The sequence below is a fragment of the Homo sapiens genome, chromosome 3, assembly GCF_000001405.40.
Source record: "Homo sapiens chromosome 3, GRCh38.p14 Primary Assembly".
In the NCBI taxonomy this organism is placed as follows: domain Eukaryota; kingdom Metazoa; phylum Chordata; class Mammalia; order Primates; family Hominidae; genus Homo; species Homo sapiens.
The window spans coordinates 88,932,465-88,958,189 of record NC_000003.12 but is presented as its reverse complement, the minus strand read 5'-3'; the positions used below and the strand labels follow the sequence as shown (position 1 = coordinate 88,958,189).

The 25,725-nt window shown below is 36.3% G+C and overlaps 1 pseudogene, besides 1 other annotated feature; it reads right to left on the bottom strand.

Annotated features, from left to right (window-relative positions):
- Positions 1,998-2,499: an enhancer, noted in NCBI's record as "NANOG hESC enhancer chr3:89004841-89005342 (GRCh37/hg19 assembly coordinates)". NCBI's record gives its function as "activates a minimal SCP1, AML or CMV promoter by ChIP-STARR-seq in naive H9 embryonic stem cells {active_cell/tissue: H9 hESC(naive)}" and the evidence as "EXISTENCE:reporter gene assay evidence [ECO:0000049][PMID:30033119]".
- ICE2P2 (interactor of little elongation complex ELL subunit 2 pseudogene 2) lies at positions 7,197-9,992 on the bottom strand (annotated as a pseudogene).
- Positions 9,993-25,725: the final 15,733 nt, after the last annotated feature.

The window sequence follows — 25,725 nt, the reverse complement described above, 5'->3', positions numbered from 1 at the left end:
TGCAGTCTTCAGTTTACAGGAAATCCATATAAATCAACCAGAATATGGAAATTCATACCTCCCAGGGGTAAAAGATTAACAGATTCTAAATTGGAGCAAAAAAGAAAGGTCAATAAGAAAGCATCAATGAGGAACAGGGGAAAAATATGCCAGACAACTGAGTACTTTCTTTGGAGAGTTACATTGTGGGTTATTATTATTTTTTTCTGACTCAAAATGACACAGCCTTGAGCTGGCAACCACAAATATGAATATTTGGGAGCCAATAGAATTACTGTCATGAGGAAGTTTTTTGACTCAGAGATTCTTTTCAACATCTGAGATAAGCCATGGAAACTCTCCCTCCAGAAATCTCCATTTTCACACCACTTCAGAGAGAATTCTGTTACTGAAAGTATAATCAGTGCATGGTTAGGCTAGCTTTCCATAAGGGAGAGAACTGAAGGTAAAGAGGGGCTCAAAGAAGCCAGATGGAGACCAGCCAGAAACAGCTAGTACAGAGTTTCTGTTTGCTTTGCCACAAGGTCTAAACGTTTTCATCCTTTAAAGTATTTCCTAAAAACACAGTGTCTCCAAAATTATTCATTTAACTCTAAGGTCAATCCGAGTGAGAATCTGGAGTGAGGCCTCATGAACTATATAAAACCAAAAAGAATTAGAAGTGTATGTTATTCTTGAAATGACCTCCTATGTGATCTCTTGGGTAGGAATTAGTGCAACTAGTGTTGAAAAGTAGAAAAGGATATATACAAAAAACAATTTTTGTTTTTTCATATACAAAACAATTGTTTTGTTGGCTAACCAAAGTGGACACTTGCAAGGTAGTTCTGAGGAACTACTTCAAAGAGGAACTTGAAGGAAGTTACATTTTTGAGCTAGGTACCACTGAAACTATTGTTCATATTTCATGGAAACAAAAATATTTCTGAGCTATGTCATCAACTAGTGGATGTGTGTTGGAATTGATCATATATTTTATTGAGTGATGAAACTGCATTAATGAATTCAGAAAGAAACCTGACAGAGCCGTTCCTAAGACAGAGAAATGCAAACAGAAGCTCTGGCTTGTTTCGGGGTTGGGATTATTGTTAGACTCTCAAATGTATTATAGATAAAGGGCACGAAGGAGGAAACGCTGTCAGCCAGTGCAGAAGAGACCTCGTGTGCACGCACATTTTAATCAACCCACAATAAAATCTCTAATGAAAACAAAAGCAATTAATAGGTCTACACAGCTTTTATATACTTTATTTTTTTCTGCAAAATCAGATCTCTGGGTATCTTTTATTTAATTAATGAATGCTCTAGATGTTCATTTTACCTGCATTAGTTTCTTTTACTAATAAGCTGGGTGCCACTATAAGTGAAAGAGCTTGGTAATTTGCATAAATAAAATATAGAGTTATTATATATTAAGCCTTGTTTGTATATAAGGAAATGTTCTAGATACTTTGTAAATAATGTCTTTGCTTCTTACAAAAACGTTGCAAGGTTAGTGATGCTGTTATTATTATTATTGAATCGATTGAAAGATGTGGAGTTTAAATATCTTGCCAGAAAGCACACAAATATGAAGTGTTAGGGTTGGCGCTAAAATCGGTTTGCCTTCAAAATTATTTGAAGCCCATTCTATTAAGCCATGTTTTCTATTATGGATACGCATAAATGAAAGGTCAGAGAATTTCAAAATATCAAGGTTTTTTTTTCCAGAAAGTGAAAATATAAAGCTTTTGATATCAGGCCAAAGGTGGAAAGACCAAATTTTACAACAACAAATTTACAAGTACCAAAAACTTGTGCAGGTTGTAAAATGAGCCACAGGCTCCAATCCAGGCTGAAGTGATAACTATAAAATATTTGCTTTTTAAAAAATTGCTCCTCGTATTGTAGCAAATAAAGGCTTCCCATAGTAAGGACGTTTGTTTATGCACATGGGCTATGAGTAAACAAAGAACTCTTATCTCCATATACATCAGAATATTTTTGCTGAAGGCAAAAAGAACAGCCAAGTGTATTAATAAAAAATGCTAAGCAAGAGAAAATAAAATTCTGTGTCTATTCATTCTGAGAATTGAAAGACTGAAAATAATTTGAAGCGTTGAAGCTCAACATTCACTATTTGGGAAAGATATACATATATATTTTTCTGAGAACAGCAGTCCATGATTACTGAACACGACATCGACACTGGTAGTATTCTTTGTTGAAAGAAATGAGCCATCATGGGCCATCAAGGGGCAATGGCGGATTTAATGGGGCCATTTAAGCAGGGAACTTTCCGTCTTATTGCTGTTCATATCACATTGTGCAGTGACTTCTCCTTTATATTCAGCCTGTTAACTAAAATAGAATTCAGAGGGGAAAAAAGGAACCCGGAGGGACTGCCTGCTCCTGCAAAACCCTAATAAATTGTTCAATAGCCATTTAACACATACGCATGAAACTCTTTAGTAGAGATATGTTTTCAACTTTATGTAACACCTGTCTAACATGGTTTAAAAGAATGTCAAGAGAAAAGAAGATCAACTGATGGCAACGACGGAAAGGATATACAAGGTACACATTTATATTACCGGCTCATTCCAATCCAGGCAAGACATAAACCAGGGTTCTGAGAGCGGTGTTGATCATGACAAGATTAGTGACCAGTGCCTTTCTTCTCCTCTGACAGCTTGTGGATGCAGGATGGATTTACGTGTCCCTGGAGGACAGGAAGGCATAAACAACGCTTGGCATCAGCATCATGAAGTGCTGACATCACCAGTTCAAATCATCTGACGGAGCCAGAAAATTAGAATCCAAAACTTGATTTCATAGTATACTGCCTTGCAAATGAGGAAATATGACAGATCTCAAAAGTGCTTCTGAATGTACGCCCTCTTGCCCATTTTTTTTTTTTTTTTTGCATTCTGATCAAGTATATTCAAAGGGAGATAATATTGCAAGCACATCCTGGGCGACTGGGGAAATGAAGGTTTGAATATTGGCCCTGAAGTTGTAGACTAAGTGGTAAGCAATGCTTCATAATAATAATAATAAGCTCCAATCACACGAAGGCAAAAACCAGTCCTAACCTCAATATAACAGACATATTTATATGGTGGAATCGTGCCATCTCCTGCTTGGCAGCATCAGACTGATGAGCAAGCTGTGTTTGAGCTGTCAGATGCTCGGCCATCACTGTCAGTTCCACTTTTGACACTTCAGTTATGTCTGTATTTTGAGAAAGGGCAAAAGACTGATGCTTCCCAAATCTATTTTCTGGCCCAGAGTTTCATTTTTTCATCAAAAATCTCATTTATCAATATCTAGGAGAGAGGTTACTTTTTTTGAAGGAAGGGAAGGATTTCTGAAATATAATCAATTTATTTCAACATTTATTTTGCTTTTACTTGGTGATCATTACAATCTCTAAAGGGCACTTTTTTCAAAGAATAGGTTATTTATTTTATAAAACTATTTCATGATGCCATTTTCACCGTTATTGCAATACACTTCAGCATTTCAGGCTCAACAGCAGTTATTTTAATGTTTTCAGGGAGATAATCCATAAAAGCAGTATATTTTACAATGTCTATTTTTTATGTATTTATGTATGTATGTATGTATTTGTTTGTTTGTTTGTTTTTTGAGATAGTATCTCACTCCATCGCCCAGGCTGGAGTGCAGTGGTGCGATCTCGGCTCACTGCAACCTCCGCCTCCCAGGTTCAAGCAATTCTCATGCCTCAGCCTCCCGAGTAGCTGGGATTAGAGGCATAGGCCACCACGCATGGCTTATTTTTGTATTTTTAGTAGCGACAAGGGTTTCGTCATGTTGGCCAGGCTGGTCTTGAACACCTGACCTTAAGGGATACACCCGCCTCGCCCTCCCAAAGTGCTGGGATTAGAGGCACGAGCCACTGCTCCCAGCCAGTGTCTATATTTTATATTTGATTATTTGTTTCCAATGTTATGTACCTACAAAATTAGTAAAATCTGTGTTTATTTGTGAACTTAATATGTCACCTAATGACCGTTATTTTATCAAATAAAGTCAACTAAAATATGTTGAATAGTTTTATATATTCAGCCTTATAAACTACATTCAGTTGCCACGTGATATTAATAGTAATATTGCCAACCAACAAAAAAACTAACTACTTATTGAGAGGCTACTATGTGCCAGACATGGGGTTAGGAAATTTGCATGCAAAATCAAAATTAATGTTTACACATTTAAAATAACTTCTTGGAAGATAAACCTAAATTAAGAAATATTCTTACATCTCCTTTGAAATAGTTTCTTTTCACCTACATTTTTTAATAAACATGAAGGTTAAGATTATCTTATTAGTTATTTTAAGGGTAATGTGTGAAATGAATAACTTCGCAGTGTTATCATTTTCAAATTTCTGTCCTCTACTTAAGCACAAAAAAGTCTAGATAGTTTCACACTCAAACTTTCTTCCCAACATGAAATTTAATCACATTTCATGGAATAATGCCTTCCCTACTTGCTATGAACAATGAAATCAGAATTACTGCTTACTGGAAATTGTCTCACAGGGCTTTGGCCTCTGTGATATGAATATAAGCATGGTAAAATATTAATTTTAGCCTAAGGTTTTTTGTTATTCTACTTGTACAGTTAACATAAAAAACAAAATCTTCTGGCAAAAAAATAAAAGGATGAAAATGATAGCTAGGATTTTCTTAGACGGGGAAAGATGGCAGGTTGCTGTTGACAGCTTGAGATGCCTATAATAAAATAATACCTGAGAAAAGTTAGGAGATTCCTAATTGCTTACTAAAAATGAATTAAAGCCTCTAATTGTGGTACATTCACAGTGTCTCAGGCACCTAATCTTTTATTGGTATTTATAATGTCTGTATTGACCTCTTTGACCTTGGCTACAAACATAGCTATTACTCCTTTACTGATTGTCTCTCTAGGAGGCGGTGGAAACTTTTACCAGTCTGCTCTGCTCTTCTGGCTTCCAAAGGAAGTTGGATACATGTTCTCTTAATTACTCGATCCCAAAAAATGTGTATAGGGGCCTATAGCTAATGGACTAGGGAGTGCTGATAGATAAGAGGCCCTCAATATCCATCTAACTCTCTGCTTTCTCTTTCTTTGGCATCCCAGGATGTTGAGATTCCTTCTGTGATAAAAAATACACACATTCATACCTACATGCACACACATATAAATACTCGAATAAAGTTTAAAATTGCTCTGCAAGGATTCTTTCAAATGTTATACTTTGAACCAGTCTATCAATTTCTTCACTGTTTTAAAAAGCTCACACTGAAACTATAATAACTGATTAACTGCTCTAGGGTGTTGGCTAGGTCTTTTCAGAAAAAAATGAGGGTGGGGTAGTAATGTTACAAAGTGGAAAGCATCTTGATTATTATTTCACAACACTGTCTTATTACAAAAAAAAAGAGAAAGAGAAAAAAGAAGTATACATATTCAACTTACATCCTTTAGGGTATATTGCTTATGATACACCTCCAAGCAAGGTGATATAATATCAATATAATAACAAATCAAAGAACTTTTTTTACCATGCCATCCAACACCCTTTACTCTGAAGATTAGAACGAAAAAAGCCCAGAGAACATTAACAGTTATTCTGATGTTACATACATCCTTCTGTCAAAACATATTCTAGAATCTAGTTCTCCACTTTTTGGCCTATCTCATTGACAACTTTGTTACCAGTTTGGGGTATTCCTGTGTGCTCCTGGACAAACCCTGGCCTGATTTTCCCACTATGGCTGCCTCTCTAGTTTTTTTTCTCTTTATCACTTAAAGAAATATAACTAGGGATGATAATGTATACATGGTAAAGTGTTTTCCTTTATAATTTCAAGGAATTAAACACTGAGGTATTCATACCTTCTTTCATATGGAATATTTATAGTGATAAACACAGGTATACCTTGGAGATATTGTGGGTTCACTTCCAGATCACCTCAAAAACATAAATATTGCAATAAAGCAAGTCACACAATTTTTCTTCATTTCTCAGGACATATGAAAGTTATGTTTACGCAATATTGTAGCCTGTTCTGTGTTCAAGCACACGGTATAAAAAACAATGCATGTATCTTAATTTAAAAATATTTTATTGCTAAAAAAATGCTAATGATCACCTGAGCCTTCAGCAAGTCATAGTGGAAGGTCTTAGCTAGTGGAAGATCTTCCCTCAATGCTGATGGCTGCTTATAGATCAGGATGGTGTTGCTAAAGGTCGTGGTGGCTGTAGCGATTTCTTAAAAGAAAACTGTAAAGTTTGCCTCATCAATTGACTTTTCCTTTCTTGAAAGGTTACTCTGTAGCATGTAATGATGTTTGATAGCATTTCACCCACAGTAAAACGTCTTTCAAAATTGCAGTCAATCTTCTGAAACCCTTCCACTGCTTTCTTAACTAAGTTATGTAATTTTAACTTGTAACATTCATCATTTTAGAGGAGTACATAAAAACTGTAAAAATGGGTCAGAAACAAGGTTTGCAATGCTCGTAATTATCTTCAACAGTGGCAATATTTAACATTTTGAGTCAGTCTCAACAGGCTGGCAATATAACTAACATAATACATAATGGTAAATGTTCTTGTTAAAAAAAGCAGCAAATTATTTTTCTATTTAAAATCTTTAGAAAAGGTTTAATGTAAAAATAGTTTTCTTTTTTATCTATTTCCCTGCCATGATAATGTTAAAACTTATCAAGATCCTCCTCAAACTTTAAGGGTGAAAAGTATAATATTATGTTTCAGTGGAAGCATTCCTTCATGTAGCCAACATATTTTTTCAAGACACTCTAAGAACTCTTGAGGATACTACGGGAAAAACGTTCCTCTTGCCTACTGATCTTTTTGTCATATTTCCCCTCAAACTTTTCTTTCTTTCCTTTTTTTTTTTTTTTTTTTTTTTGAGGCGAAGTCCTGCTCTGTCGCACAGGCTGGAGTGCAGTGGTGCAATCTCAGCTCACTGCAACCTCCGCCTCCTGGTTTCAACCGATTCTCCTGCCTCAGCCTCCCGAGTAGCCGGGATTACAGACGTGCGTCACCACTCCCGGCTAATTTTTGCATTTTTAGTAGGGATAGAGTTTCACCATGTTGGCCAGGCTGGTCTCAAACTCCTGACCTCAGGTAGCCACCCACCTCAGCCTCCCAAAGTGCTGGGATTACAGGCGTGAACCACCAAACTTTTCTAAACTAAACATTGTTATAACTGTTTTTTAAATTTAATTTCCCATGGTACAGTCCTCAAGTTATTTTTCTTTTATTTGGAAGCACTCCTTCAGTTTCAACTTGCTGAGCAGGCAAGCAACTGCTTTTGGTTTCTATGGAAACTGGAATCCTGTGGCTGTGTATAGGCATTCTGGTTCCACCAAACTTTTGTTGTGGTATCCAGTGATTTAGGTGGAAAAGTACAAGGTATTCTTCCATGATGGATATGATATGGTAATAAAAGCCTGGGATCTAATGGAACCCAGGGAAATGAGAGACTGAAAGGTATGCCAGGAAGGCCGCAATGGGTTTTATACAAATTGTATGCTGTCCTAGTAACTTTTCCATCAGAGACCTTATAGTTCAGGAGTGAAGAATCTTCTGCTGCATAATATAACAAGTAGGAACCCTCCTGCAAGCTACTTAATTTCTTTAGAATGTGTTGGAGGATGTTAAATAAATTGGAAATCTTGAGTGCTGAAAGCGTTTAATTCTTCTGAGGTAGTTTCTTCCAGTAGAAAATGCTTTGAAGTAAATGCATCAATATGCCCAACATAAAATGAGCTGTTGGAATGTAATAAACTTTCAGTCCTTAAGTGACAAAATTCACTTTCAATCAGAGCTTCAACTCCATAACAAGCTTGATACTCTACTTTTGGTAGTACATCAACTGGAAATTGTCTTCTGATTTTCTTCTGTTCTTTGAGAATGTGGTCTTGTCTCTATCCTCTGGACACTGCAGCACATGAGAAACAACAGATCTTGAAGTCTAAATAAATTATAAACAAAATTTCCTTCCTGAGAAGCTAGGTATTCTGATGTATCTTCAACATAGTCCTGAAGTTCATATGGCAATTGTCCTTTGGGCTTCTGAAATGCAGAAGGCCATCCAGATTTCGGTCAACTAGAGCCATCTGAAGGAACAGACAATTGCTCAGAAACAGAAGACTGTTTAGAATTTCCTAAATTCATCAAGGACAGTTTGGGTACTTTTCTGGAAATTGGCTTTAAGAGCTCATCCTGCATTTTTAAAATTTCTCCAACTGGATCATATTTTTTATATACTCATTTGATACGTTTTTTAAAAAAAACACACGACTCTGCAGGCCTACAAACAGTAGTAGTCTGTTTTCCTACAGAAGCCTGTCCTGAGGAAGAATTTGGACTAGCTGATCTAAAACTTAAGTTAGAACCCACAACATCTGTCTTTCCATTGCTATTATTTTTACACTCTCTATCAATGATTAAACACTCCTCATCTGTATCACTGCTGAAGAGAACTGGATCTTCAGTTTTAGCTGCTTCTGATCTAACAGTCTTTTCCTTTGAGTTGTCTAGGTTTTCCAGAACATTGGGTCTTTCACCATCAGCATGTTCCATATCCATAGTCATATCATTTTTATTAGAAGTTTCAATTTCCTAAGAATTTTCTAACTGTAAGGCATCAGATGTTTTCAAGTCACTATCTTGCATCAAAGACTTGTCAGAATTTGATACCTTATCACCACATGATTCAAACTCTGATCATCTTTATTTTTGCACTCTTCAGGGCCACCATCCATACCAGTGACCAGTTGTTTCTCCTTTTGCCATTGTTCAATCAGAATCTGAGATGAACTTCTAGAATTAGCAGAAATGTCTGGTGCACTTGGTGCCACAGGTGTTGTTACTGCTTTGGGGGCTGTAGGAGCATCTGTCATGTTAGGTACTGTGGAAGTACTTGCTGGAATTGGTGACTTTGATGCTTTGGTGGTGGTTACTCCAAAAGTTTCAAGTTCTGTGACCTCATCATCAAAATCCAGATACAAGTTTTCAAGAGTCTCAATTTTTCGGCACTCATTGAATTCATGGGACATGTCCATTTCAGATATAAACTCTTCAGGTTTGTCCATAAAGACTGCAGATACTGGAACAAATGTGTTTTGGGGCATCATAAATTTTAATGGAACTTCATGAAAGATTTGTTTTCTTTCTCTCATAGTTATTTTATTTCGGGGAAGTGGCGAATTAATATATATTACTTTAACTGGTTTTGAACCTGCAACAGGTATTACTTGAATCAATACCGAAAGTTCCCAAGGTTCCTTGTACATTGGTCCATGATTATTTAATAAAGTAAATAATGATTGACTAGTTAGAGCTAGCTGAGGGTGATATCGTGAAATAAGTTTCTCTGCATTTGGATCTTTTCTAATATAATAATGCATAGCTTCAGCCGTTCATTCTGGCAATTCAATGGCAGATATATCATCTTTTGAGAGCTGCAACTTTATAAGCATTGAGGGAAATACTGTTTTCACACATTTTACCCTGCCCAATGCAAGAAGAGATTTTTCTAACTTTAATTCCATCTCTACTCTGAATGGGAAGAATACCATTAAGCTGGTGACCTCATGGAGAGTATAGAATTCTAGGAACTTTTTCACTTGTTCAATGCAAGCTCTCAAAATTTTCACTGTGAAGAGACAAGCATCATCAGAAAGCATATTATAATCCTGTGCAAACTTCTTTGCAGAATTCTGCAAAAACTTTAGGAACTCAGTAACTTCTTCATTCACATGTTTTTTTCATATCCAAGTACTGCAAGAAGTCATTTTTTCTTTATTCTGATAGTTTTGGAATTTGCAGAAATCTTTGTATATTTAACCAACAAGTCCACATAACTCCTCTGCTCTCTCTGTTCAATAAAACACATAGTTCTTTTAAACTTGGAGCCATGGGATAATCTTTATAATTTTCTCAAGAGAAAAATGTCTTAAGGCCATTTTTGGGGAAAATATCCCAATTCAGTCCTGGTTCACTTATGACCAACTTGCAGCTCGTCTTCCTAGATTTCTGCTTCACTCTAGCTCATAGTTCACAACTGCCTGGCTGCAAAGGCTCCAATAGAGGCAGAATCCCTCCAGAATTTACTCAACTCATGGTCCACCATGGCTCTTGCCCAGGTGGCATCCACACACCACACACGCTCCACCCCACTCCTCACATTGTTGTGTGCACCTGGGAAAGCCATATTTAAAGGACATGGCCCGGGTTATGTAATTTTTGTTGTAATTTTGATAATGTTCATAGCATCTTCCCTAGGAATAAATTTCATCTCTGAAGAAACCACTTCTTTAGGTTATTCGTAAGATGCAACTCATCTGTTCAAGTTTTACCACAGCGATTTAGAAGTTCAGTCACATCTTCAGATTCCACTTCTAATTCTAGTTCCCTTGACATTTTTACCAGATCTGTAGTTACTTTCTCAGTTCAAGTCTTGAACCTCTCAAAGTCAACCATGAGGTTTGGAATCCTCTTATTCTAAGCTCCTGTTAATGTTTATATTTGTCCTTCTTACATGAATCACAAATGTTTTTAAGCATCTAGGAGAATGAATCCTTTCCAGAAGATTTCCAATTTACTTTGTAGATTTAAGTGATTTTTCAGATCCCTCAGAGGAATCACTGTGATCACTATTTGTGGCAGCTGTAGCCTTACAAAATATATTTCTTAAATAATAAGACCTGAAAGTCAAATTATTTCTTGACTCATGGGCTGCAGAATTGATGCTGTGTTAGGAGTCGTGAAAACAGTAGTCTCCTTATACATCTCCAGCAGAGCTCTTGGTGAACAGGTGAATTGTAAATGAAAAGTAATTGTTTGAAGGAATTCTTTTCTAAGCACTAGGTCTCAACAGTGGGCTTAAATATTCAGTAAACCATGCTGTAAACAGATGTATTGTCATCCAGGCTTTGTTTCATTTGTAGAGCACATGCAGAGTAGATTTAGCATTGTTCTTAAGGGCCTAGGATTGTCAGAATAGTAAATGAACATTGACTTCACCTTAAAGTCATCCGCTGCATTGGCCTCTAACAAGAGAGTCAGACTTCCCTTTGAAGCTTTGAAGCCAGGCAGTGATTTCTCCTCCTTAGTTATGAAGGCCCTAGATGACATTCTTCTAAAAGAAGGTGGTTTCTTCTACACTGAAAAATCTGTTGTTTAGTGTAGCCACTTTCATCAATTATGTTAGTTAGGTCCTCGGGATAAGTTGCTATAGTTTCTCCATCAGCACTTTCTGCTTCTCTTGCAATTTTATGCTATGGAGAAAGCTTTTTCCCTTAAATCTCATGAACCAATCTCTGCTAGCTTCAATCTTTTCTCCTACAGCTTCTTCGTCTCTCTCAGTCTTCATAGAATTGAAGAGATTTAACGACTTGCTCTGGATTAGGCTTTGGCTTAAGGGAATGTTGTGGCTGGTATGATTTTCTATCCGGTCCACTAAAACTTTACATCAACAATAAGGCTGTTTTGCTTTCTTATCATTCATGTGTTTATTGGAGTAGCACTTTTAATTTCCTTCAAGAAATTTTCCTTTGCATTCATAATTTGGCTCACTGGCATTGAAAGCCTAGCTTTCACCCTATCTTGACTTATGACATGACTTCCTCACTAACCTTCATCTTTTTTAGCTTTTGATTTAAAGTAAAGGATGTGCAATTCTTCCTTTCACTTGAACTGTTAGAAACCATTGTAATGTTATTAATTGTCCTAATTTCAATATAGTTTTGTGTCAGGAAATAATGAGGGCCAAGGAGTAGGAGAGCGTTGAGAGAAGAACTGGTTGGCAGAGTAGTCAGAACACGCACAACGTTTATTGATTATGTTTGCCATCTTAATATAGAGGTGGTTCATGGGGAACCCAAAACATTTACAATAGTAGAAAAAGATCACTGATCACAAATCAGTATAACACACATAATAATAATGAAAACATTTTAAAAATTTGTGAGAATTACTAAAATGTGATACGGAGACATGAAGTGAGTACACGCTGTTGAAAAGTGGTGCTCATAGACTTTCTCGACACGGGGATGCCACAGACCTTCAATTTGTAAAAAATGCAATATTTTCAAAACATAATAAATTGAAATGTAATAAAATGAGGTATGCGTGTACTAGGAAGAACCATTCAAGAATAGAGAATGACCCTCTCTAAAAGTAGAGGTTGATTTAATGTAGCAAATACAGTATGCTTCATCATAATGGTTGTTGAATTGACTACTAAAAGATTTTATAGATATATAAAAATTGTAATATGATGTAAGAGCTTTTGAAACAGTCACATAATTTCAAGTTGCTAATAAAAACATTACATTAATTCTATGAAAGTAATCATTAACATCTGAAATGTAAAGTAAAATATTTAATTTTAAGGTCCTAGATCCAACAGATTTATAGAAGTTTTCACTTTTATAATGGAGACTAAGAATAGAATTTTAGTCCCTCTCTGAATTAGAGGATTTAATATTATCTGTTCTCAGAAGAATATGATATAATGAAATGGGCATATTGAAAATATTCAAATAAAAGGAAGCAATCCACAATGTTAAACTCAAACTCAAAAAGAATTCCTAGTTCTTTTTGAAAATCATAACAACATTTCTATAATTTGCTACCTGAGGAAGTGTTTGAAAATTTTAAAGGTCTTTTGGTTTTTGATGGTGGTGTTGCTAGTGGGGTACACTTTATGTAACATCTAAGAAGGATATTAGCATTTTTAATTATTCCAGTAATTTTTTTAAAATTTAGAAAGTCTAAATTTAGGCTTTCTTTGTGACTGATTTTGTAACATACTAATTCTATTCATCATGGCTATCAGGAAAACTCCTAAATGTCAGCATTGCTTAATGTTTTTCTTGATTTAGGCTCCCCTTTGGATACATACAATTCGTATTGATATTTAAGAGCTTCATATACAAATGTATTGAGTGAGTTTCTTTGGCTATCTGTGGGAATCTGCTAAAAAAAAAAATTGATCTTTCCTCGCAGTGAACAGCCCCATTTGATTCACTGTTTTTTAATATCTAGGGAGCATTGTAGCACACAAAGTGCAGAAGTAGACATGAAAGGTTAGTGACTTGCTTTTATAAGACATGCCCTCCTTAATCTGTTATACTAATGCCATTCATAGCATCACCCTGTAAGATAAGAAACTTAAAGCCATGTTTTAATAATGAGGCCTCACTGAGAATTCTAAGAAGAAGCTTCAGCTGGAGTCATAGTGTGAACACTGAGTAATGGCTGGGGTCAATAAAATCTGAAGTAATTATTTCAAAACATAGTTTGGATCAACAAATTCTTGTAGCTCATGTACCTTGCTTCCCACTATAGCTGAAGAATGCAGAAGGGGTTTTTGTATTCAAGTCAGGTCAATATCAACTTATATACATTCATAGATACAAAAGTAATTATCATGGATTGCATTGACAGTATCATTTGTCACCAGTGGGTGTTGTCATAGTCATTTACATTTGGCATCACAGTTAAACAGTTTTATGCCAGTCTTTTTTTGTGGTCTAAAAACATTGAACCAATGAGTCATTTAGGAAATAATAAGTATCCCATTTTGTTTATTATTTCCAATGGCACATGGCAAACTATGATTTAGAATGGTGTAGGATTTTATTATTACAATTACCTTATAAGATTACACCTTGGATAATAAGGGTGATTCAGACAATCAAATGCTGGACATTACTGTGTTTTAGAACTTTAAGAGAACTCGTGTATCTTGAGAGAGCCTTGGGATTAAAGCTAGGTTTCCTACGTGAGGAAAATGTTTGCTGTAGGCATAAAGGGTGTGTGTGTGTGTGTGTGTGTGTGTGTGTGTAAATTAGAAAGAAAAAAGAATTCAGAATCACACACAAAAAAATAACAAAAAGAGACAGATGACTGACGAGAGACATATCTGAGGTTGAGTTATTGGAAATGCATTGCTCTTTGTAAAGCAGTTTAGTCCACCAAGCACAGTGCTTCTTTTAGGAAATGCCTCTGCTGCACTATCAGGAGCCCTATGTGTTGTAGCTGTTTTTTCAAGGAAATCAGATGGATATGTTTTCATCTATTCATGTGTACCCAGGCCTCTTTATGATAGAAGGCATTTACTGATTTCCAAAATAATTAGTTGGGGTCACAGGTGAACTGAACACACTTTACCAAGGTAATGGTTACAGAATGTTGAGGTAGGGCTTGGCACATATTAAGGGCTGGACAAATGTACGTAATTAGTATAATTCACCTTTGTGAGGCCCTGTTATGTTTAAGAAAAAGCATCATTTTATAATAATAACAACAAAACAACCATAAATTCACAGCCAGTCAGGCAGTACTTATTTAGCTTGGTATTATATTGAATATATATGTGTGTGTATATGTATATATGATATAGATATATGATTAACACAATGACCTATGAGGCAGGTACTGTTACAAAAAATTTATAGGTACTAAATAGCTATATTACTGATATGAAAAGTGAGGCACAGAGAGATTAGATATCTTTGCCTATCGCCTAAACTGTTATGAGTATGTTTATTTAAATCTAAAAAATATAGTTATTTGACTCCTTCTATGCTCTCTAATACATAGTTAATTAGTTTTCACGTACTATAACTTTATTTGAATTTTGTAGAGATGGTTATATCAATCTTTAAGTGAAAGTTCTTCTATTTCTACTATAAATTCTGGTCATACTCTCCCAGCAAATTATTTCCATTCATTCATATTTCTGCAGTTGCTGACAGAGTAGAGAAAAACAAACTCAGTTTCTCCTACTATACTTTCACAACATGCTTCTGACACCAGTTGTGCAGAGGTTTACTCCCACGCCTTAAGCTAACAATCAGTTCTGCAACAGATACCAGCTGGGTTTCCTCCAGTTCAGTTCAATTCAATTCTGACACTATCTACCTGGGCATAGGTTCGGATCCTACAGGTTGAGGGCTCAGCCCCAAAGACTACCCCTCACTTCTGATGTCAATCACAAGCCCCAGGTTGCTTTACCTGTGCATCTGACAGGCTGGCTGTAAATCCAGGTTCCCAAAGTTCCTTCCTTATGTTCGATTAATTTGCAAGAGTGGCTCACAGAACTCAGGGAAACACTTACTTATTTTTACAGGTTTATTGTAAAGAATATTACAGAAGATGTAGATGAAGAGATGCATACAAAAAGGTATGGGGGAAGGAGTTTGGAGATTCCATACTTCTCCTTGTGTGCCACCCTTTAGGAACGTCCACATGTTCAGCTATCTTGAAATTCCCCAAACCGAATCCTTTTGGGTTTTCAATGGAAGCTACATTGCATAGGCATAATTTATTAAATCACTGGCCATTGGTGATCAACATATCCTTCAGCATCCCCATGTCCCCTCCCCGATGGTTGGGGTGTGGGGCTGAAAGTTCCAACCCTCTAATCCCACCTTGGTTTTTCTGGTGGCCAGCTCCCATCCCAAAGCTGTCTAGGGACTGCCAGCCATTAATCATCTCATTAGCATACAAATGACATTTATCACTTTGAAGATTCTAGAGATTTCAGAAGTTGTACACAAGAAGATGAGGACCAAATATATATTTCACAATATCACACCAACTATTCTTCCTAATCTCTGTTGCTCTAAGCTATCTCTCTCACCATTAATAGATTTACCTTCATAAAATCACACAAAAAAGTTTTATGCATGAGCATGTTCTTCACATTATCAGTGTTACTCAAGTGACTCAAGTTACCAAAGTCCCTGAGACTTGAGTGGACCTTTATTATAATGGTTCCCACTCCATATACTATAAGAAACTCACTTGCCCCCACCATGCTGTTGATGATACTGAGGAGTTGTATATTTCTCTTGAGCACATATATTGTTCAAATGGCCTGTTTCCTTTGCATTCTTAGTTTCCACTGTGCATCTGGTCTCAAAAAGGTTATTTTTTTCTTTGCCATTTTCCTGAATTTTGGATTCTACCCCTATTTTCTCTTTATCTTAAAGTACCACTTCTCTAAAATATATTACTTAATCTTAAAGTACTATTGGAAAAACATTTTAATTCATATTTGGATGCAAAGAAGAGAAATACATATTACAGTTAGTACTGGAAATAATTTAAATTGTAACAGTAGATATCACTGTGCAAAAAATTGTCAGGCGTGTCCTACCATGTGGGCGGCACCCCAGGGCCCCTAGCCTCTTGCTATAATTTTGAAATTCTCCTTCACATTATTTCTTCTCCTCTTCAGATTATCTCCCTTTTATGAAAGAATACCGAAAATATCAAATTCTTTCCACTCTTTTAAACCAAGCATTTGTTTTTATTTATTTGATCTAGAATGGGAATGAGTAATCTGCATTTTAGCTAAGGTGACAATAAAGCATAATTGTCTTGAGCTTGTTCTCCTGGCTTAATTATCAAAGCCTCCTGTTTCTCTCTCAAAAGGGTATTGGATTGGAAGATGCATTATACGGTCATCCTAAACAAGTATTCCTGGTGATTCTGGCACAGTTGACTCACGAACATAAACTGCTCGAATGTTTGTCCTAATTGAGTAAGGAGAACAAAAAACCATCACTTTTCCTCCTTGAGTGAGGCCATGTGTGGCTATCTTATGAAATAGAAAAATGGTATAAAATAAAATATAAATATGGAACTAAATGTTCACAATATGTTCTCTCTCTCACTAATATTTTGCTTCTTTACTTGCATTTCACTCTTTCATTCCTCTGTAAGCCCTGATATCTGCAAAGGGTTTTACAAATTGGAAACCCATTACTAGCACCAAAGGCCATTCAATTGAGAGAGTATTGATAAGATCTATACCCCAGCCAGGTGAAACTGCCATGTTCACTGTCTCTGAGTGTGTGGAACACAGATGTTCAGAGATAATTTTCGTGACCATAAACGGGCACTTAAATTTCAAATGATCTCTAAATATGTGTTAACAACATAACATATGTGTTAACAAGGAACTACTTTATGTTGCTGCTTTCTTCTCCAATTTGTTAATTGTTTGAAAAAACTGAAAATTCAAAAACTAAAAGTAATTTGAAAGTTTCTAAGATTAATCTTCCTTCAAGGGATTCAAAGAAAGAAAATATACACATATGGGAAGTGTAGGACACATTTTAATCAAATAGTTTGCTACGGATTTTCATATTAATTGAATTACAAAGTTAATATATTTCCAGGAAACCTAAATTGACCTATGAGAATGGTGATAAACCTTGAAGAATAATGCTGACGTTCATAAGATTGCCTTAGTGATGTGTGCAACGAGGAAAGAAAAAGGAACCATCAGTTTTAAGTAGTATTATCATCAGCCTCTGCAGCATCTATACATCTGTTTTTTTTTAATAAAAGTGTTTTTGTGATTTGTCTCAACAATAAATTTTAATAAAATTATCTTGTTTTATAAGCTAAGGTAAAATGTTCACTGTGAAGAATGTACACTGAAATGATAGTTAAGGAAGTGTTGATTGGAAAAATATTTCATACCACTCCTAAATACTAATTTGTCATACATGATTTCACAAGCATAGGGCTGTTCTTGATACAGATGTGATATAGTTCTGGAGCATGTAGTTGCATATATACTAAATACCCAGGGGATAATGTCACAATTTACTGCCTTGCTTTTCTTTTAGAGTTCATTTCAATGCTTAGGATGACACTGATTTGCTGCCTTGTGCCTGGCCTCTATCTATCTTCAGCTGCTGATCTATGCGTTAATAACACCCAGGGGAAATCTGGCCCACGTTGAATTTGTTTAGTCTTTATATTCTCACATCTATTGAAAATCATTATTGGCATTTTCAATTTGGTTATTAGGCAAAACCTTTCATGTCAACCAGCAAATTTAGGTAGAATATCTTAACGTAAATCATCTCTACAGCCATACTTATATAGCATGACCATGGCAAAACACATTTTTTTTGTAGACAACAAAGCACAGGCATTTACCATATTAATAGTCTCTATAATGGTTGTAGCATAAATCCTATTGTTTGTATTTAAATAAGAAATAAATATATTTTCAGAAGTCATGGTAGGACTGATTTTGTAGGATTCACGAGACATAGAAATATTATGGAGAGAAAATAGATATGTGAACCAAAACATGCAGTTCAAATTCTGAAGTCTTGAAACTATGTTTTATTATTATTATTATACTTTAAGTTTTGGGGTACATGTGCAGAATGTGTAGGTTTGTTACATAGTTATACACGTGCCATGGTGGTTTGCTGCACCCATCAACCCGTCATCTTCATTAGGTATTTCTCCTAATGTTATCCCTCCTTTAGTCCCCCATGACCTGACAGGCCCCAGTGTGTGATGTTCTCCTCCCTGTGTTCTCATTGTTCAACTCCCACTTATGAGTGAGAACATGCAGTGTTTGGTTTTCTGTTCCTGTGTTAGTTTTCTGAGAATGATGGTTTCCAGCTTCATCCATGTCCCTTCAAAAGACATGAACTCATCCTTTTTTATAGCTGCATAGCATTTCATGGTGTATATGAGCCACATTTTCTTTATCCAGTCTATCATTGACGGGCATTTGGGTTGGTTCCAAGTCTTTGCTATTGTGAACAGGTTACAGGAGTTAAGAAGAAATTACTTAGGCAGATAGTAAGGGTATGGAAGTCCTCAGTATGGCTTTTCTGAAAAGCAGATCCAAATCATTACCTAACAAAGAACAACCTGCAAAGTTGATCTGCAAATATAGACAAGCAAGCTGGGAGCTTGAACTGGTGAATGCTGGCAGGAACTAGGAATTACACATGTTCAAGATGGCAACTCCATCTTCCCCTTTCTGCCAGCAACATCTACAGTAAGAAGCAGACAAGATGGCACCCATCAACTGGAAAGTCCATTTGGATGATAAGATTGGGGGGGATGACAAGCCTTCCCTGAGCACTATGTAAAGGACATTCCTGATCAAGCCAATCTATAAGTCCTGTGTAAATCAGACACTGCCTCCTCAAACTGGATTATAAAATCCAGCGCATTTGCCACCAGCCAGTCCTTTCTGCTTGGAGACTCCTTTCTCTATAGAGAAAGGTATTTCTCTTTCTATTCTTTTCTGCCTATTAAACTTCCACTCTTAGACTCCTTGTGTGTGTCCGTATCCTAAATTTTCTTTGCACGTGACAATGAACCCCATAGTATAAACTGCAAATAGTGTGATATGGTTTGGTTGTGTCTCCACCCAAACCTCATTTTGAATTATAATCCCCATAATCACCACATGGCAGGGGCGGGACCGAGTGGAGGCAATTGGATCATAGGGGTGGTTTCCACCATGCAGTTCTTATGATAGTGAGTGATTCTCACGAGATCTGATGGTTTCATAAGCATCTGGCATTTCCCCTGCTTGCACTCACTGCTGCCCTGTGAAGAAGGTGCTGACATTTCCCCTGCTTGCTTCATCCTGGTGCCCTGTAAAGAAGGTGCCTGCTTCTTCTTTGTCTTCCCCATGATTGTAATTATCCTGAGAACTCCTCAGCCATGTGGAACTGTTATTCAATTAAACCTCTCTCCTTTATAAATTACCCAGTCTCCGGTATTTCTTCATAGCAGTGTGAAAATGGACTAATACAGACTATTGCATTGTTTTCCTTCTTTTCTCAAGGTACAACACATAATTTCGCATTTTCACTCTCAAGTAATCATTGTTCCTGTTTCATTAAAGTGACATCATTCAAAGAGAACTTTCTCAGATTCACAGGAACCCACCTATCTACCTACCGCAATCAATATTCATGCTTCTGCCTTCTAATCCATTTCTAAAGATGAAACTTATCTGATTCTATCTAAGGAAACACTCTTTTCTTGTGCACTTGATTCTCTTAACTATCTTTTTTTTTCTACTATTTCAAATGTATTTCTCCCCTGTATCTTTACATTAGTATACAAAATTATTATTATTGAATATCTAATGTAACTACAAATCTTGTTTGCTTTAGTTTTAAAATATACCCAGAATACAACTAATTCTTACCATCTCTACTGCTACCACTATATCCAAGTCACAATCAATTCTTGCCTTGAAATATTCTCTTGCCTCTTTGGATTTTTTACATGTTTGCCTTGGTTTTTTGCTTATTTATGACAGATCCAATGTCATGTTCCTTTTAGAATTTAAGTATATTTGGGTCATTCTTTGGCACAAAATCTTCCCTATCTGAAAACAATCCAAACTTCCCAAGATGGTCTTGAAGATTCTACTTTGTCTGGCCTCTGCCTGCTCTCTGGCTCACCTCATCTCACTCTGCTTCATTGCCCCTGATTCTTGTCCACACTGGCCTTCAAGCTGCTATTTACTTCAACGTGCCAGACACGTGCTATGCCTCAAAACATTTGCAAAGTTTCTTCCTTCCGTATGATATCCTTTAAAATATGCTTATGACTTACTTTCTCATCTGTTTCATGTCTTTTCTCAATTATCACCTTCTCAACAAGGCTTACCCTGACCACTCTATTAAAAATTTAGCTCCCCAAATCAGTAGCAATCTTCCTTTTCCTTCTCTATATTCTGTAATACTTATAACTTAATCATATAATTTACTTATTCATCTTGTTTGTGTTTCGTTTCCACTAAACTGGATAGAAGGTTCATACGGGCTAATTTTTTTGTTGATTTTATTCATATATGGTTAGAATCTATATTAGCTCTGTACTATTAGATTATTAGTAGTAACAATAAGTGTTTATTGAATAGTCAAATCAATAAAATCTGCCACCCATGTCAGACTCTTCTATGACACTTTAAAGACAAGACATTTTCAACTCCTTTGGGTTCTCTTTTTTTAAAATAACTTTACATTCAGTATCTTACGTTAACATCCATAATTCACTTCTTGGATTCTTGTGGTCGTCTCCTAATAAATTTCTAGTTCTCTAGTAATATCTCCTTTCAATCTGCTATTTTCTTGGCCACAGAGTGATATTTTGAAAACATAATTTCATTACATTTTTACTTTGCTTATAATCAATTATTACTGCTTTGTGATTATTGCCCACTGAATGCAATATAAGTCCCTTAGTACAGCAGATCAGGTTTTTGTACTTCTGTCCCTCCACCGCCATAGCTTCATCTCTTCCCAGGCTCGAATCTTCACACTGACAGCTGGCAGTAATTGCTGTAAGCTGCAATTATCTTCTGAACACTGAGCTGTACCATCTGTGATGACACACTGTTTGCCTTATAAATTATTGCATAACTAGTATCTGGAGTATAAGTGATCGATAAATATTTGTTGGAAAGTTAAAAATGAATATACTACTTCTCTGCATGTATCATATTTTCTTGCCTCCATGGTTTAGTATATTCTATTGCCTTTGCCTGAGATTCTGTCCCTGTGCTTTCTTTATCTGGATAGTGTCTTTTAAATTTCAGATCACTTGCCAATCTCTCTCCAAGTATTTTCTTATCCCAAATATGTTCACTATTTTTTATTTGTCTTTCCATGGCATCTGCTATGTCTTTCTAGGCACTGATACTAAAACCTCAATAATCCTCACCATAATATCTGTACTACTAATAATTTACTTACTTCTCTGTCTTCTTCACTGGGCTCTGAGGAACTGAGTTTCTTGAGTGCAGCAATTATGTCCCCTTTATCACAACATGGAACATAATGCTTAGTACATTACCTATTTAATGAGTCTAGGATGAGGTAAATAGTATTAAATTATATCATGTTTAAACAATAGTCATGAATAGTGTCAGTTCTGTCGTTGAATCCAACTCTCTCTGGACACAGAGGACCAGAGATAGTCTGCGACTTGCCCAAGTCATAAAGTAAGTCAGCAGCATAGGAGAAAATTGGTCCCAGATTATCTGAACCCAACGCCATTAGTGGCAAGGAGGATGCTTTTCTCTACAGCCTGCACAATGGGAAGGCAGCCACACAGCTCCTCCTTTAGGGAGCCCATGACACAAATGAAGGTCAAATAAGGATTGTTCCCAGTGGGAGCAAGGTAATGTTACATAGCCTCTTCTAGTCTCAACATAGCCATCCAATTTCCCCCAACGGATGGAAGTAAGGATTTTGTGTGTTTCTGTTTTGGAAAGTGTTGGTCTGTTTCTTTCTATGACAAGCAGTTGGGATCTAAGTTCAAGGAGCTGGATGGGATAATCTGTTTGACCTCACTAGAAAATGTGGCCAATCTACCTCATTTATCTGAATCTAGGAATATGCAGGAGACATAAAGATGATATTAAAAGTTAAGTTTTGGTGATTCAAGAGAACTCAGACTCTTAGAATGAAAGAATCAGGTCAGAATCCTATAGGGGAATGCTTAGTAATCCTACAGACATGGACAACACGTATTTGAAATTGGGGACTTAGAAAACCCTAACTCAACCTAAAGGTGATCCAAGGAAGCAGCCTAAAGAGCAAGTATGAGACGCACTCAGTCATATAGGAAATCTAGTGTAGTCATGAATAAAAATCAAAGATAGGGAGTGCTTTGGATGGAGTCCAGAAATAAATTTGTAGCTTTAAGAAAAAATTGACACTTTCAACTCATCACTTCATTAAATATTTATGTAACAGTATGTAAAACAATTATGTTAGTATTGAAAAAAAGTGATTAGTAGAACTTATTCCCTTAATTAATTTATAGTTTAGTTAGACTTGATTAAACAGTTGGTTTTTTAACAAATCATACAGGATAATACAATATGAACACTACATGATAGAAAGAAGGACACTGTGAGCTAAATGAACTGTTCTGAAAGAATTCTGGGTGCAGAAATTTAGGGCTTATAGAGTGAATACCAGGTGGTTCATTACAACAATCAAAGAGTATGAAAAAGGTCATAAACAGGTGAGATAAGTTTTGAAGTCATCTGGGTAAATCCATGTTAATTATTATGTTTGTCTTCACATTAACTGAATTCTTCCCATAAATTCAACGAAGGAAGAGGTCCAAATATTCTCTGTCTCAACATGGCACTGGTACAGGGGAAAGCTTCCTTGGTGTTTTGTATCTATTAATATTAGCGAAGGTGTTGTGAATGAATAGTGGCACCCTCCAACATATGTATCCACATCCTAATCCCCAGAACCTCGGAATACTAACTTATATGGTAAAAGAGTATACATTATCTTGTATGGAAAAATATGTGATTAAGTTAAGACTTTGAGAAGAATAGTTTAGCTTGGATTATCGATGGGGATATAAAAGTAGTTACTAGTGTCATTTTAAGAAGTAGGCAGTAGAAGAGGAATACATAAAGGAGGACACAGATATGCAACGGAAAAGGCGACATAAAAGAGAGTAGAGGCCGGGAGGGGTGGCTCACTCCTGTCATCCCAGCACTCTGGGAGGCCGAGGCGGGTGGATCATGAGGTCAGGAGTTCAAGACTAGCCAGGCCAACATGGTGAAACCCCGTCTCTAATAAAAATACAAAAATTGGCTGGGCGTGGTGGCGGTCCCCTGTAATCCCAGCTACTGGGGAGGCTGAGGCAGGAGAATCACTTGAACCTGGGAGGCAGGGGTTACAATGAGCCGAGATTGTGCCATTGCACTTCAGCCTGGGCGATAGAGCAAGAATCTGTAAAAAAAAAAAAAAAAAAAAAAAAAAGAGAGAGAGAGCAGAAAGAGATAAAGTCAAAGCCAAGGGATGCTGATAACCACAAAAAACAAAGAGACAAGGGAAAAAGCCAACTCCCTTGGAGCCTCCAGAGCGACTTTAGCTTCCATGCTTGTACTCTGATTTCAGACTACTGACTTCTAGAACTGTGAGAAAATAAATTGCTGTTGTTTTCAGCCACTGAATTTGTGCCAACTTCTTACAGCAGCCTTAAAAAACTAATATATAAAGAAAATGGTAATTTTTCTCTCTTAAATATGTCATCTTGCTAAATGTTGTATGAATATTTCTTGGCAAAGCATTAATATTCATCAGGATCTCCACTGGGCAAGAATATTACATAAAATTTGAAAGAGAAATGAAAAGAACTACTATGATTGCAAAGGATAATAGTCGATGATTTTATAATTTAGACATCATCAATCATTTGAAATCATTGAAAATGTCTACCAACTTCTTGGTCATTGATTTTTTCTTACAAATTTTTGTTTCTGTGTAGCCACTTTATAGAATTAGGGTGAAACCCTACCCAAAATGAAGTTTGGATGTCAAGAATGATGACACCAGACACACACCAAAAGCGTATGAAAAGGGTTTATTCCTTACCTAATAGGGCTTTCCAGGGAGAACATGGCAGGCCTTCCAAGCAGGTCCAAAGGTGGCTTGAGAGAGCTAAATAAGGTTACTAGCTTCAGGGTTTTTATGATGGTTAAGGGGTGGGTCCATGGTGAGGATTTCCATGTGTGGCAGGAGCTTGTGTTGTTTGAACTTCTTGCCGTCACCAAAATAGGAAGCATCAGGCATTCTTGTCAGATTTCCCACATGTTGGACAGGCAGAAGGGGAAGAGGGAAGGCCGAGGCTCAAAATTTGCCAGCAGCAAAGCATCAAAAATAGGTCAGACTATTACATAAAATAGTCTGTCTCCATAAAATTAGTTATTAAATATAGTAAAGGTAGATCGATAAAATTTCTCTATTCCTTCATCTATTGTAGCTGCTTCCCCTGCTCCCACCCCAGTTCTTCCTCCTTCGTACATTTCTTCTATTTTCCTGTGGCTATGAACTAAGTCATCCGCAGCAACCACCAGCATTCTAATTGAGTAATTGAGGCTGAAGGAGATCTTGACTTTGCTTATAAATGACTAGCACTGCCCCATCAGAATCAGGGGATCTTTGGTTTTCTCATGTTTACACATTAATGTTTTACACTTATACTCATGCACTTAACAAAAACACAAGTAATTTGGTAATCTGTAATTATCTGGCAGACTAAAGCTTTCTGTTCTATCTTGAAAGTAAGTATTGCAAGGAGGCATAAATAGGTACCTGATCAAGTGAGAGGTCTCTAGGGTGCAGGATTCCAATTTTATATAATGATGCTCAGTCACTATCTGATGCCACTTTATGTTTTAGCAGCCTCAAAAGATACCCTAGCCACTTTGCTATCTTCCCTAATAGCCCTCCTATCAGACAGATGATTGTATCACTAGCAAAGTAGGAATGAAGGAAATGATTCTGTAGTCCTCGAAGATTCTGAAATTGTCCAGTATAGAATAAACTAGGCAGTAAGGCTATATTGCTCACTATAATGATGCTAAAAGTAAGAGCTTCTAGTACAACTTTGTCAGGAGAAACAAGTTAAATAGATTGTTTATGGAGTAGTTTCTGTGATTACATGAAGTGCATATCAAAATGGGTTTATGCATTGCATTTTATATCACCATTCTTGTTCCTGTAAAAACATTTTATTAACCTAAAAGCAAAAAACTGACATTTTAATGTCCAACTTCAGAGTTAAAATGACATTTATAATAATACCCAGTAAATCTATACAACTCTTCAGTACACTAACATAATTAAATTAAAGGTAACAGCAACAATGCAATACTGAAAGCCTGCATGTTTCATCCAGTTAGAGGCAAGAACACTTTCTAATTTTAGGAATGGAACCAAAGATAGTAAACATATGCATTTAAGTAAATATAGGTTATTTTCTTTTAAAACATTTGCTTTTATATTTTAAATAAGTGCTTTTAAATTTTACTATTTGGGGAAAAAAAGGGACAGCCATCGATAACACAATTTTTTGTT